Below are 14,334 nucleotides of genomic sequence, written 5' to 3'. Positions count from 1 at the left end.
CAAAAGAAAGGCCCACCTGGGGCAAAGGATGCCTACAGATAGTAACCTGGGCTCCTCCACGGCCCTTGAAGAATGTCTTCTCAAGTAATTATGCCTCCCAAGGACTTTCATCCCAGCATCTTGAAAGCACGTAGTGTAATTAACTTTGAAGTCACCCCATCCAGGTTTACCAAGGGCAGGCCTGAGACCTGATGAGTCACTGCAGCTCTGCCACTCAGGCCTCTTGGTTCCTCCTCTCCCCTTTTCCTCCCTCTTGTTGCAGCTTCCCTGAGAAAACCCAGGACCTGGCTGGGGGCGGTGGCTCATGCCTGTAATCCCAGCACTTTGGGAGGCTGTGGTGGGCAGATCATGAGGTCATGAGTTTGAGACCAGCCTGGCCAACACAGTGAATCCCTGTCTCTACTAAAAATATAAAAATTAGCTGGGCATGGTGGCGTGCATCTGTAGTCCCAGCTACTTGGGAGGCTGAGGCAAGAGAATCGCTTGAACCCGGGAGGCGGAAGTTGCAGTGAGCCGAGATCGTGTCATTGCACTCTAGCCTGGGCGACAAAGAGAGACTCCATCTCAACAAAAAAAAAAAAAAGAAAAGAAAAGGAAAACCCAGGACCCAGCCTCCCCAGCTCCCTGCATGCCCCTGACCCAAAGGTGGACCTCCCTTTCCTGATGGCATGTCCCGGACAGGTGACTACATCCGGGGATTTTGTAAAGAATCTGAAACATGTTCCTGGTGATTCCAGGAAAACTGATAGGAAATCCTTCTCTGTAGCCTGTTTTTGTTCGCTTGTTTGTTGGCTACGTAAGTTTGAAGTGGGACTCATCTCACCGAGGATGGAGCCACAGGTCACATGTGCAACTGAGAGAGACAGAGAAAGGAAGCTTCTTCTCTCTTGTGTCTCCTACTCAGGATCCTTACACAGCAATCTGTGAATCACCACCAGCTGCATACCTGATTCACTCACACACACACCCCAGGTAGCGCACCCAATCGGAATGGCCTTGTTCTGCTTGCGGATGGCCATTGATATCCTGAATGTCACCACCCCAACAAGAAGGGCTGCGTGAAGTTGGAAGCATTTTCGGTTGCTGGCTGATTTCCACCAAGCGGGGGCTGGCATAGGTTCACGGGTTCATTTCACAAACAGGCTGCCCAGGTGTGACCTTGGTCAAGTAACATTGCCTCTCTGTGCCTCAGTTTCCTCATCTGCCAGGTGGCACTCACAAGATCTTGGTTGACATTGCCTGCCACGTAATGAATGCTTAATGAACAGCAGCGGTGATGAAGATGATGAAGGACAGTCATGCCTGCCCCTGCGTGTCAGGTTCTGGGAACAAAAAGATGATTAAGATCCAGTCCCTTTTGCCCTCTGTTTGTGTCAGCACCCATTCTCCTGACTTCCAGAAATTTCCTGTACTTTGAAAATCACACACAAGGCCAGGCCCGGTGGCTCACACCTGTAATCCCAGCACTTTGGGAGGCCAAGGCTGGTGGATCAGGAGTTCAAGACCAGTCTGACCAATATAGTGAAACCCTGTCTCTACTAGAAATACAAAAATTAGCCAGGCGTGGTGGCAGGCGTGTGTAGTCCCAGCTACTCGGGAAGCTGAGGCAGGAGAATAGCTTGAACCCAGGAGGCAGAGGTTGCGGTGAGCTGAGATCGTGCCACTGCACTCCAGCCTGGGCAACGGAACAAGACTCCGTCTCAAAAAAATAAAAATAAAAATAAAAATAAATAGATAAATAAATAAAATCACACACAAATATTTGCATTAAGGGCTGGGCACGGTGGCTCATGCCTGTAATCCCAGCACTTTGGGAGGCTGGGGCAGGCAGATCACTTGAAGTCAGGAGTTCGAGACTAGCTTGGCCAACATGGTGAAACCTGTCTTTACTAAAAAAAAAAATTAGCCGGCTGAGTGCAGTGGCTCACGCCTGTAATCCCAGCACTTTGGGAGGTTGAGTTGGGCAGATCACAAGGTCAGGAGTTCGAGACCAGCCTGACCAATACGGAGAAACCCTGTCTCTACTAAAAATACAAAACTTAGCTGGGCGTGGTGGCACATGCCTGTAATCCCATCTACTCAGGAGGCTGAGGCAGGAAAATTGCTTGAACCCGGGAGGCGGAGGTTGCAGTGAGCTGAGATCCCACCACTGCACTCCAGCCTGGGCGACAGAGCGAGACTTCATCTCAAAAAAAAAAAAAAAAAAAAACTTAGCCAGGCGTGGTGGTGCACACCTGTAGTCCCAGCTACCCAGGAGGCAGAGGCGGGAGAATTTCTTGAACCTGGGAGGCGGAGGTTGCAGTGAACCGAGATCGTGCCATTGCACTCCAGCCTGGACAACAGAGTGAGACTCTGTCTCAAAAAAAAAAAAAAAAAAGATGGAGTCTCACTCTGTTGTCCAGGCTGGAGTGCAATGGCGCGATCTCGGTTCACTGCAACCTCCGCCTCCCAGGTTCAAGAAATTCTCCTGCCTCAGCCTCCCGGGTAGCTGGGATTACAGGTGCCTGCCACCATGCCCAGCTAATTTTTGTATTTTTAGTAGAGACGAGTTTTACCATGTTGGTCAGGATGGTCTTGATCTCTTGACCTTGTGATCTGCCTGCCTCGGCCTCCCAAAGTCCTGGGATTACAGGTGTGAGCCACCACGCCCCGCCGAGACTCCGTCTTAAAAGAAAAATTGCATTAATGAGGCATCCAGTATGCATTACCCTGCATGATGTATTTTTTTTCCCACTTGATGACAGGGACAATGAAAGTTTTATCAGGGACCTGAAGGAAGGGTAGGAATTAACTAGGAGAAGGAAAGGGATGGAGACAGCAGTGAGAAAGGGTGTGTTTTAGGTGATGGGAACAGCAGCATCAAGGCTGTGATACTAGACACAACGTGGCTGCTGGAAATACAATCATTGGTGACAGTGTGAGGGGCAGATTTGCTTAAAAACTGGCCTACTGGCCAGACACAGTGGCTCATGCCTCTAATCTTAGCACTTTGAGAGGCCAAAGCAGGAGGTTCACTTGAGGCCAGGAGTTTGAAACCAGCCTAGACAACATAGCGAGACCCTGTCTCTACAAAAAAAAAAAAAAAGAAAAAAAATTAGCTGGGCCTGGTGGTATGTACCTGTAGTCTCAGCTACTTAGGAGGCCAAGGCAGGAGGATTGTTTGCGCCCACGAGTTCAAGGTTTCAGTAAGCCATGATCATGCCACTGAACTCCAGCCTGGGCGACAGAGAGAGAGACAGAGAGAGACCCCGTTTCAAAAAAAACAAAAAACAACAACAAAAACAGAACTGACCTATTGGGCCTGTTTACATTTTTACTTGTAAACAGCAATTTCAGATTTCGGCTGGGAGCGGTGGCTCAAAGCTGTAATCCCAGCACTTTGAGAGGCCGAGGTGGGCAGATCACGAAGTAAGGAGTTTGAGACCAACCTGGCCAACATGGTGAAACCCCATCTCTACTAAAAATACAAAGATTAGCCTGGTGTGGTGGCTCGTACCTGTAATCCCAGCTACTCATGAGGCTGAGGCAGGAGAATCAGTTGAGGAAGGGAGGCAGAGGTTGCAGTGACCTGAGATCATGCCATTGCACTCCAGCCTGGGCAACAGAGTGAGAGTCCATCTCAAAAAAAATTAAATAAACAGCCATTTCAAAAAAGACCTTCTTACTCTGCTTATTATTGTAGATATTAGAGGAAACACTTATTGAGTGCTTAGGATGTGCTAGGCCCTGTGCTACCAGCCTTACTTATGTTATTTTGTTTGATCCCCACAGCAGCTCTGACAGGATGGTCCTGTTCATACCCCCATTTTACAGATGAAGACATTGGAGGGCCGGGTGCGGTAGCTCACGCCTGTAATCCTAGCACTTTGGGAGGCCAAGGCGGGCGGATCACGAGGTCAGGAGTTCGAGACCATCCTGGCCAACATGGTGAAACCCGTCTCTACTAAAAATACAAAAATTAACCGGGAGTGGTGGTGGGCGCCTGTAATCCCAGCTACTTGGGAGGCTGAGGTAGGAGAATCGCTTGAAACCAAAAGGCGGAGGTTGCAGTGAGCTAAGATCGTGCCACTGCACTCCAGCCTGGGCGAAAAGACTGAAACTCTGTCTCAAAAAAAAAAAAAAGAAAGAAAAGAAAAGAAATTGGGGCTTACTGAGGCTTACAAGACTTGCCCAGAATCCCACAGCCTGTCAGTGGTGGAGGCAGTTGACGACTGCACAGGCTAATGGCCTCCAAAGAGCCACCCAAAGAGCTGATGGCTCTGTCCTAGGTCCCTCCATCTCTGCTCTGGGTGAGGTCACATCTCAGCCCTGTCCCTGATCATCCTTCTGGATGACCCTTGGAGAGCCACTTAAAATCCCAGAGAGGCAGAACATCTGAGTTTTTTTCCCCAGCACTCTTTCCCAGTTTTTCTGGTCATGGCACCCCATTTTTCTTTAGGTACTCATGCCTCCTTTTCAGTACATTTGGTTCTGAAGGGGCTGACTCCACCCACTGGCTCCAGGGTGGGCCTGTGATCCAGGCCTGGCCAATTGATGCCCTGCATTTCCTGGCTACAATGATTGGCTCAGAGATGGGACCGTGACTCAGGCTGGGCCAATCAGAGGTGACTGTGGGACATATCTTGGAATTCTTGGCAAAGAGGTGCTCTCTCTGCCACTGGGGGGGGGGGAAGGCCACATGGGAATGGGGCCAAAACACACACACACACACACACACACACACACACACACACACACACACACACACAGAGCAAGAGACGAAGAGAAATAGCATCCCAATGACACTATGTGAGGCCTCAAATCCAGCTCTGCTTTGAACTCCTTAAGTGAACCCATATATTCCCCTTTTTTAGTTCGTTATTTTATTTTATTTTACTTTTTATTTATTTATTTATTTTTTGAGACGGAGTCTCGCTCTGTCTCCCAGGCTGGAGTGCAGTGGCGCGATCTCAGCTCACTGCAAGCTCCGCCTCCCGGGTTTACGCCATTCTCCTGCCTCAGCCTCCCGAGTAGCTGGGACTACAGGCGCCTGCCACCACGCCCGGCTATTTTTTTTTTTTTTTTTTGTATTTTTAGTAGAGACGGGGTTTCACCGTGTTAGCCAGGACGGTCTCGATCTCCTGACCTCGTGATCCGCCCGCCTCAGCCTCCCAAAGTGCTGGGATTACAAGCGTGAGCCACCGTGCCTGGCATGGTTCCTTCTTGATCCCCACCTCCCTCTCTATCCTCCAAATTCTGTATTAATTAGTTTCTCCCTAACAGAAAATTGGAAATAACCTGAAAGTCATTGAAGAATGGTTAAGTAAATTATATAGATCCATGCCACGAATGGCATATTGTATAGATATTAATGTAGTCTCTTGACACATTCCTAATCATTTCCATATTGAGTGAAAAAGGCAGTTATAAACTTATATGATAGCCTTTCTGAACGCTGTAAAAAAATGCTTAGAAGAAAGATTGGCTTTGGCTGGGTGTGGTGGCTCATGCCTGTAATCCCAACACTTTGGGAGGCCGAGGCGGGTAGATCACTTGAGGTCAGGAATTCGAGACCAGCCTGACCAACATGGTGAAACCCTGTCTCTACTAAAAATACAAAAATTAGCTGGGTGTTGTGGTGCGTGCCTGTAGTCCCAGCTACTCGGGAGGCTGAGGCAGGAGAATTGCTTGAATCCGGGAGGTGGAGGTGGAGGTTGCAGTGAGCAGAGATCGTGCCACTGCACTCCAGCCTGGCGACAGAGTAAGACTCCGTTTCAAATAAATAAATAAATAAATATAGGCCAGGAGCGGTGGCTCACGCCTGTAATCCCAACACTTTGGGAGGCTGAGGCGGGCAGATCACGAGGTCAGAGATCGAGACCACGGTGAAACCCCGTGTCTACTAAAAATACAAAAAATTAGGCGGGCACGGTGACCGGCGCCTGTAGTCTCAGCTACTCCAGAGGCTGAGGCAGGAGAATGGCATGAACCCGGGAGGTGGAGCTCTCAGTAAGCCGAGATCACGCCACTGCACTCCAGCCTGGGCGACAGAGCGAGACTCTGTCTCAAAAAAAAAAAGAAGGAACCAAAAGGTGATATCTGATTTGGTCCTTGAAGGGAGAATAGGAGTAGCTGTTTGCTGAGTTGAGTTCAAAGGGGTGGAGCTGGTCATTGAGAAAAGCATTCTTTCTTCATTAGCCTGTGGGCAGGGGGAAAGGTGAGGCTGGGGGCCTGGGAAACCATTATAATTGTCCAGAAGTTAAGTCAGACTGAACCAGGGCAGTGGAGGGGAAAGCGGACACATTTAGGTGGAATCTTTGAGCCTTGTTAGAAAGAATAGGCCAGGCATGCTGATCACATCTGTAATCCCAACACTTTGGAAGGCAGAGGCAGGAAGATTGCTTGAGGCCAGGAGTTCAAGACCCAGTCTCTATAAAACCATTAAACATTGAAAATTAGGCCAGGTGCAGTGGCTCACGCCTGTAATCCTAGCACTTTGGGAGGCCAAGGTGGGCGGATTGCCGGAGCTCAGGAGTTTGAGAACACCCTGGGCAACATGGTGAAACTCTGTCTCCATTAAAAAAATACAAAAAAAAATTAGCTGGTCGTAGTGGCGCGTGCCTATAATCCCATCTACTCGGGCGGCTGAGGCAGGAGAATCGCTTGAACCTGGGAGGTTGCAGGGAGTCGAGATCGCGCCACTGCACTCCAGCCTGGGCAACAGAGCAAGACTCTGTCAATAAATAAATAAATAAATAGAAAATTAGCTGAGCGTGATGGTATGCCCATGTAGTCCTAGCTACTTGGGAGGCAGAGGTGGAGGATTGCTTGAGCCCAGGAGTTTGAGGCTGCAATGAACTATGATCAAACCATTGCACCCCAGCCTGGGTGAGAGAGCAAAACCCAAGAAAGAAAGGATGGGTAGTTGCATGGAGGAGGGGTGAGAGGGAAGATAGCAAGGTAGGTGTTTATCTTCATTTTGGAAAACCTGAGTAAAGGTCTTGAGAGGGCTTTTTTCCTCCCACAGGGAGCACCAACTAGGGCCCCCAATACCACCTGCTGACCTGCCATATCACTCAGACCAGGTGACTTTCTGTCTTTGAGCCCCTTCCGGGCAACCAAGCCTAAAAATACCCACCACCTGCCTCTGTCCCCTGCCAGCCCGGGGCCTCTGTAAGTTGAGACCCAAGAGTGCCCCTAAGCAGAAACCAAGACCCTGAACTGAAAGCCCTGGAGGGGAAGTGTAAGTCAGGTTGTGTCTGGTCTGTAAGTGTCTTGTACTACACATTGCAGATATGGTGGGTAATTGGGACAAAGACTTCCTCCTGAAGGGGTTAGTGTGTAGGGAGGGAGAGCTGGGAAGTCATAAACAAGTTACAATGCAATTGATAAGCCTTACTCTTGTTAGGACAGACCCAGGCATGTCCTACCTGGGGCTGGGGAGGAATCGTTCTATAGGATTTTGCTATTACCAGATCTCTGGTCATGTTATACCTACTTTTGCGGGGGCATGTTCTCTATGCCAGACCCTGTACTAAGTACTGGGATTACATCAGAAAACAAAAAGGATACTTGGGAGGCACAGGCAAGAGTATCGCTTGAACCTGGGAGGTTGAGGCTGCAGTGAGCCAAAATTGCACCACTGCATTCCAGCTTGGGTGACAGAGTGAGACTCCATCTCAAACAACAACAACAACAAAAAAGCCAAAAAGGATGAAAATCTTTCTCTTCAGAATTTATTGGCCAGGCACACAGTGGCTCACACCCGTAATCTCAGCACTTTGAGTGGTCTAGACGGGCAATTGCTTTGAGCCCAGGAGTTTGAGGCCAGCCCTGGCAACATAGCGAAACCCCATCTCTACAAAAAAAAAAAAAAAAAAAAAAAAATACAAAAATTAGCCTGGTATGGTGGCACATGCCTATAATCCCAGCTAACCAGGAGGCTGAGGTGGGAGGATCACTTGAGCCTGAGTGGCGGATGTTGCAGTGACCTGAGATTGTGCCACTGCACTCCAGCCTGGGTGACAGAGACTGTCTCAAAAACAAAAAAACAAAACCGAAAAATTTTGTGTTCTACTAGAAGAAGACACACAGGGAAACAGGCAAACTATATAATATGATAGAAATGAAGTGACAGGGTGGCTCACGCCTGTAATCCCAGCACTTTGGGAGGCTGAGGCAGGCGGATCACGAAGTCAGGAGATCGAGACCATCCTGGCTAACGCGGTGAAACCCCGTCTCTACTAAAAATACAAAAAATTAGCCAGGCATGGTGGTGGGCGCCTGTAGTCCCAGCTACTCTGAGGCTGAGGCAGGAGAATGGCATGAACCCGGGAGGCGGAGCTTGCAGTGAGCCGAGATAGCACCATTGCACTCCAGCCTGGGTGACAGAGCGAGACTCCGCTTCAAAAAAAAAAAGAAAGAAAGAAAGAAATGAAGTGACAGGGAAAGTAGGGCACGGTAAAGGGAAATACAGAGTGCATGTGAGGGGTCTGGTAGTTTTACTAGGGGTGCTCACAGCAGGCCTCACTAAGTGGAGGACATTCGAGCAAACCCTTGAAGAAGGTGATGGAGGAGCCATTCAGGTATCTGGGGAAACAGCGATCGCAGCAGAGGGAACAGCTAGTGCAGGGGGCTCGGGGCTGAGTGTGCTCAGCTTGTTCTAGGAACAGCAAGGGATCAGTGTGGAGGGAAAGGGTAAGAGATGAATGAGATCAGGAATCCCCAGGAGAGTAGAATGTCAGATCAAGTGTTTGTAAGGACTTGTAAGGCTTTTACTTAGAGCGAAACAGTGAGCCAATGGAGGGTTTTGAGCAAAAAAGTACCATGTTTTGACTTCGATTTTATTTTATTTTTTGAGACAGATTCTCATTTTGTCACCCAGGTTGGTGTGCATTGGCACGATCTTGGCTCACCACAACCCAACCTCCGCCTCCCGGGTTCAAGCAATTCTCATGCCTCCAGAGTAGCTGGGACTACAGGCATGTACCACCACACCCAGCTAATTTTTGTATTTTTAGCAGAGACAAGGTTTCACCATATTGGCCAGGCTGGTCTGTAACTCCTGGCCTTAAATGAGCCACCCGACCTCACAAAGTGCTGGGATTACAGGCGTGAGCCACCGTGCCCGGCAGATTTTAAAAGAATCTTGGCTGGGCGTGGTGGCTCACGCCTGTAATCCCAGCACTTTGGGAGGCCGAGGCAGGCGGATCACAAGGTCAGGAGATCAAGACCATCCTGGCTAACGCGGTGAAACCCCGTCTCTACTAAAAATACAAAAAATTAGCTGGGCATGGTGGCGGGCGCCTGTAGTCCCAGCTACTCGGGAGGCTGAGGCAGGAGAATGGCGTGAACCCGGGAGGCGGAGCTTGCAGTGAGCCGAGATCGCGCCACTGCACTCCAGCCTGGGCAACTTTGAGACAAAGAGCGAGACTTTGTCTCAAAAAGAAAAAAGAGAAAAAAAAAAAAGGATCTCCCTCACCCCTGAATTGATAGAATGGATCAGAGGGCAAGGCTGGAACAAGGGAGAGGGGTTAGCAGAACTCTGCAATAATCCTGTGCAAATACTGGACCAGGGTGGTAGCACTGGAGGAGGAGTGGCAGACATCTGAGTCTAGATCTATTTTGCAGGTAGAGCCAACAGGATCTCCTGCCTGCCTTATTGGGTAGCGGGCAGAAGGGGGGCATTCATTCACAGCTGACTCCGAGTTCTGGCCTGGGGACTGGAAGGATGGAATTGTCAACAGCTGATGGAGGCAAAGCTGAGAGGGAGCAGGTTTTTGTGTGTGGAAGTGGGGTTGGCTCAGCTCAGACACGCTGACTTTGAGATGCCTGCTGGAGCTCCAAGGAAGAGGTGTTGGGTAGACAGTTCAGGCGAGGAGTCTGGAGACATAAATACATTTGGGGATCTTGAGCACATCAATGCCAGAACTTAATTGCATTTTATCTTGTTCAGTTAACCTAGGTGATGTCTGGACCGGCAAACAGAAATGGACTAGGCGGCTTGAACCCTATCTGAAGACTTTTGCTAGTTCGGCAGCCTAGAGCCAGACGGGGCAAGAAAGAATCGCTGCTAAGCGGAGTGGGAAAAAAAGGCCTCTTTCAGTGCTTTGCCATTTCATCTGGCCTAATTGCACACAACACTCGGTCCACGTTCATTCCACAATTCCACACGCATCCTTCACTCAACAAATAGCCATTGTATTTCGTTTCATCTTCAAAACAGGCTCAAATGGAGGAAATTAGGGTTAAAAGAAGTGAAGCACCAGCGAGGGTCAGGGGCAGAGATCGCAGCCCAGAAAGCTCTCGCGGTTGGGGGCCGGTCGTAGCTGGTTTTGTGAGTGGCAAGAGAACCCGGGTCGCGCCCCAACCCGCGGGGCGGCGGGCTGGGGTTCGGGGCGGCGGGCTGGGGTTCGGGGCGCGGCCCCTTTAAGGCCCAGGCAGTGATCTCAGCCGCGTCCGCCGCCCCGCCCTCCCCGGCGGCGAGCCCAGAGCGCATGCGCGCCGCGGCTGCACTCCACTGGGCCCGGGACGCGCCGGCGGCGGCGGAGACTCCGGGGCTGCGGCGCCGCCCGCCCCGCCCGCAGAGTCCGGCTGCCGCGCATCGTCCGCAGACGCCGCCACCGCCATGGGCTCCTGAGGTATCCCGCCTGGCCGGCCTCGCCCGGGAGCCCCAAGGGGGAGCTGCGACTCCCGAGCGCGGGGGGCTGCTTGTTTCGGAGAGGCCCGCGCGAGGGACGCCCGGCTTCGGCCGCCGGCTCCCGGGCGGGGAGGGCACTACGGAGGCCGGTGCGGCCGCGGAGGGAGGGGGCATCCGTCTCCCCACCCGTGCCTCCTCTCCGCCCCGCGAGGTCGCCCGTGGGTGTGCCCGCTCCCTTTCCACGCCAACGTGGCGGGGGCAGCTCCTGGAGTGTAATCGGACCTGTCCGGGGGGCGGCCCCGGGAGAGGGAGGCGGATGGACCAAGGCGCTTTGCAAGAGGGATTGTGTGCTCCCGGGTGGGTGTGCTGGCGACTGGCACGGCCGAGTGAGTGGGGGAGGCGTCCGTGCCCTGTGCGGGTGGCAGTGACCTGGGAGGGTGGTCGGCGGGGGGCTTTCGGGGCTGCGTCGTGAGTGGAGGGTGTACACGCCCGCCACACAGGTCCGCAGGTTTGGAAGGGGATCGACTGGGACCTGGGGCTCGAAAGATGTTTGCCCCCAAAGGGACCGTGGAGACTGGTTTTGGGTGTCTGTATCCTTCCCGTGAATTGTACATTTCCTCCTGGGCACACCCTTGGTACCTCGCTTGGATCCACTTACCTCCAGTGCTGGGTGGCTCCAGGCCAAGGCAAGGCAGTTATGCTGGGGGTTGGGCATGGATTCCCAATACATATCCCCTCTGGAGGTGTTGTATAAGGCCAGACGTTTTACTCCTCCCTCCTTTCCAGGGCATTTTGGGGCAAAGCAGGTATTTGCATGCCTGATACCTGTGGTGAGGTGAAGGCCATGTATTATTTATCTGACTGCTGGTGCTTTTGTAAGGAAAGAAGCAGCAATCTGTGCCCTGGAGGCCCTGCGCTGCAGAGTCAGCCAGGCAAACAAGCTCACCTGCACCTGCAGAGGCAGCGCAGGTCTCAGAGGTGTGACTTCGTTGACAGGTTATGCCTACAGTGTCCCTTTCCATCTACCTATTTAGCTTCCTTGGTAGAACCCCTAGGCTCTGCACCTCTGAACCTTGCCTAGGGTGCTGTGCGTATCAGAGTTGGGACCTGGGACGCTGGGGTGGGAGAGCCCCAGCAGCCAGGTATGTGTGCCCACCTGGACAGAAACATTTGATGCCCAAGCCATCAAGGAGCTCTCAAGCATGGGGGAATCAGATTTGGAAACAGGTGATCACGATGATGTGAAAAATACCAAACAAAGGAGTAGAAGGAGTACAGAGGCAGGTTCAGTTCCCGGGGAGGGGGATCGTGGCCGCAGGAAAGACTCCCTCATAAGGAGACGGTTGAGCTGAAGCCTGAAGGATGACTGACGTTCATCTGAGGCTTTTCTGCTTTCCACATATATTTTCCTGTGTAATTTGCACAGCAGCTGTGTGAGTAAGGAACAGTTGTCCCTATTTGCAGATGCGGTAAACTGAGGCCCAGAGGGAATTCATGACGTTCTTCTCCACGATACGTGGCAAGCCTGGATGGAATCATCCTTTAACCAGGACCTCTCTCTTGCTGCCAGATCTTGTCTTGCAACTTACTGAGCATCTACTATGTGCCAGGCACTATGCTGGGGCATAGCGGTCTGATGATCAATGGGACCTGGTGCCTGCCTTCTAGGGGCTCCCAGTGCTGGGAAGATGGACACTGATTTAGTGACCCCAATCTGGATACGAGGCTCCAATAGCTAATGTGGGTGGAGAAGGCGCTGTGAATTCCCCCAAAGCATTTGTGCAGTCGTTGGGATTCTGGATGTCTTATTTGTTGCACCCACGGTGGTGGTGGGTTATTCAAAGAGCCCCTTCTGAATTTCTCCAACCAAGTAGAAAGAAGAGCTTCGAGGCAGAAGGGTGAATGAGCCACTTGTCCTAGTTCTTTCCTATTGGCCGAGTTCTGTGAGCAGGGGCTTCTGTCCGGAGGCTGTTTGCTCCCTCTCTGTCTTAGAGGTTTTGCTCCTGGTCTCTGGCTGGCCTGCCCAGTCCCTCACCCTGAGAAGGGCTCAGAGCTATTTCCAGTCCCTGCTGTGCTCATTTTCTCTCTGTAAATTCCCTGGAGTGGAAACAGCCCCGGCAAGGCAGGGTACAGCTTTTTATTGTTTTGAAAACGAGTCACAGCTCTGGGCCTTTAGACTGGGGATCTGGTGTGGGAGTTCTGGAAGGCCAATAGCTGGGCCCCTGGGAGAGCTCTGTGTGGGGTCTGCACCAGGCCCTGCAGCCCCGGGTAGTAAGCACTCACCGAAGACCATGCTGCCCTGCACTGTGCTGGGGCAGCCCTCTAAAAGGTGGTTGGCAGAGGGAGCCCAATGTGTAACAAATATGTGCAAGACAGTGCCCTACTTGTGGTGGAAACAGAGGGCCCTAAAGGGGCCCAGAGGACAATAGGAACAACAGTCCGTTTATTGAGCACTTACTGTGTGCCAGGCACAGTTCAAAGCGCTTTCATGAATTACTGTATTTAATTTTCCTACCACCCAGTGTGGTGGGGGCTGTCACTGTCTGCATTTTGTAGGGGAGGCAGCAGAGAGTGGAACAGCTGAGTTTTGAACCAGTAGGTCTGACCTCAGAGCCCATGCTCCTCCCCCATAACCCTGGGGTGCTGGAAGTCGTCTTGGCCCTGAAGGACGAGGGGTGCTCCACCTATGAAGGAGAAGGAGGGCGTTCCAGGTAGAGGGAACTCCGGGCAGATGTGGAGGTCTGAGCTGCCTCACCTCTCAGACGCAGAGGCTTGAACTGCCTGTGACTGTGTTGGGTCTGTGTCCTGAAGACCTTTGGAGGCCCCGCCAAGGAGTTTGAACTTGATCCTGATGTCAACAGGGAGGCCTTGAAAGTTTCTGGAAGGATGTGACATGCTCAGCCATGTGTTATGGGGCAGTATTACCATCCCTTCTCATCCCTCCTTCATTCCTGCAGAGAACTTCTGGAAGACCAGGCCTTTGTTCCGTTGGCTTTCCTACAGCCCCTGGCATCGCTTTTAGACCCCGCCGCCTTTCTCTTGTTGTCTTCTAGCAGCTTTTGGTCTTGAAGACCCTGTGTGACTCAGGGCAGGTTCTGGAGCCCACTGTTGTAACGGTGTCTGCCCCACTGCTGACCCCTTGCCTGCTGGGAACTGGCTTCTCTGAGCTGGAACTTTTTTTGTTTTTTGAGATGGAGTCTCGCTCTGTTGCCCAGCTTGGCATGCAGTGGTGCTATCGTAGCTTGCTGCAGCTTCTACCTCCTGGGCCCAGGAGATCCTTCCACCTTGGCCTTCTAAAGCGCTGAGATTATAGGTGTGAACCACCATGCCTGGTCAGCTGGAACTTTTTTTTCTTTTAAGACAGAGTCTTAGGCTGGGCGTGGTGGCTCATGCCTGTAATCCAAGCTTTGGGAGGCTGAGGTGGGCAGGTCGCCTGAGGTCAGGAATTTGAGACCAGCCTGGCCAACACAGTGAAACCCAGTCTCTACTAAAAAAAATTTGCCAGGCATGGTGGCACACACCTATAATCCCAGCTACTTGGGAGGCTAAGGCAGGAGAATTGCTTTAATCCGGGAGGCGGAGGTTACAGTGAGCTGAGATAGTGCCACTACACTCCAGTCTGGTGGGTGATAGAACAAGACTCCGTCTTAAAAAGAAATGGTCACTAGGAGCACGGGAGGAGGAGGGAGAGAGGGAGGTAATGCGCTGAGCAGTTC

At 51.8% G+C, this 14,334-nt stretch overlaps 1 protein-coding gene across 13 annotated transcripts in view, besides 2 other annotated features; it reads left to right on the top strand.

Moving 5' to 3' along the window:
• Positions 10,341-10,970: a silencer, noted in NCBI's record as "silent region_13714". NCBI's record gives its function as "represses an Ori minimal core promoter by ATAC-STARR-seq in GM12878 lymphoblastoid cells {active_cell/tissue: GM12878}" and the evidence as "EXISTENCE:reporter gene assay evidence [ECO:0000049][PMID:35858748]".
• The window catches only part of TMEM184B (transmembrane protein 184B), a 56,616-nt gene continuing 52,774 nt past the window's right edge, over positions 10,493-14,334 (top strand). For 6 of the 13 annotated variants that reach the window (XM_047441319.1, XM_017028759.2, NM_012264.5 and 3 more), the window contains exon 1: positions 10,493-10,619. Coding sequence is in view for 4 of the 13 variants with exons in the window: in XM_017028755.2 (XP_016884244.1) it covers positions 10,935-10,975 (41 nt within the window). In the remaining 9 variants the exon portion in view is untranslated. Of the gene's footprint in view, positions 11,005-14,334 lie in introns of all 13 variants that reach the window. The other 7 variants (XM_047441320.1, NM_001195071.1, XM_011530114.2 and 4 more) reach the window with 4 other exon arrangements.
• Positions 11,033-11,742: an enhancer, noted in NCBI's record as "NANOG-H3K27ac hESC enhancer chr22:38667767-38668476 (GRCh37/hg19 assembly coordinates)". NCBI's record gives its function as "activates a minimal SCP1, AML or CMV promoter by ChIP-STARR-seq in primed H9 embryonic stem cells {active_cell/tissue: H9 hESC(primed)}" and the evidence as "EXISTENCE:reporter gene assay evidence [ECO:0000049][PMID:30033119]".

Source organism: Homo sapiens, chromosome 22 (assembly GCF_000001405.40).
Source record: "Homo sapiens chromosome 22, GRCh38.p14 Primary Assembly".
Lineage (NCBI taxonomy): Eukaryota > Metazoa > Chordata > Mammalia > Primates > Hominidae > Homo > Homo sapiens.
Note: the sequence above shows the minus strand (reverse complement) of the source record. Positions and strands in the feature narration are given on the sequence as shown.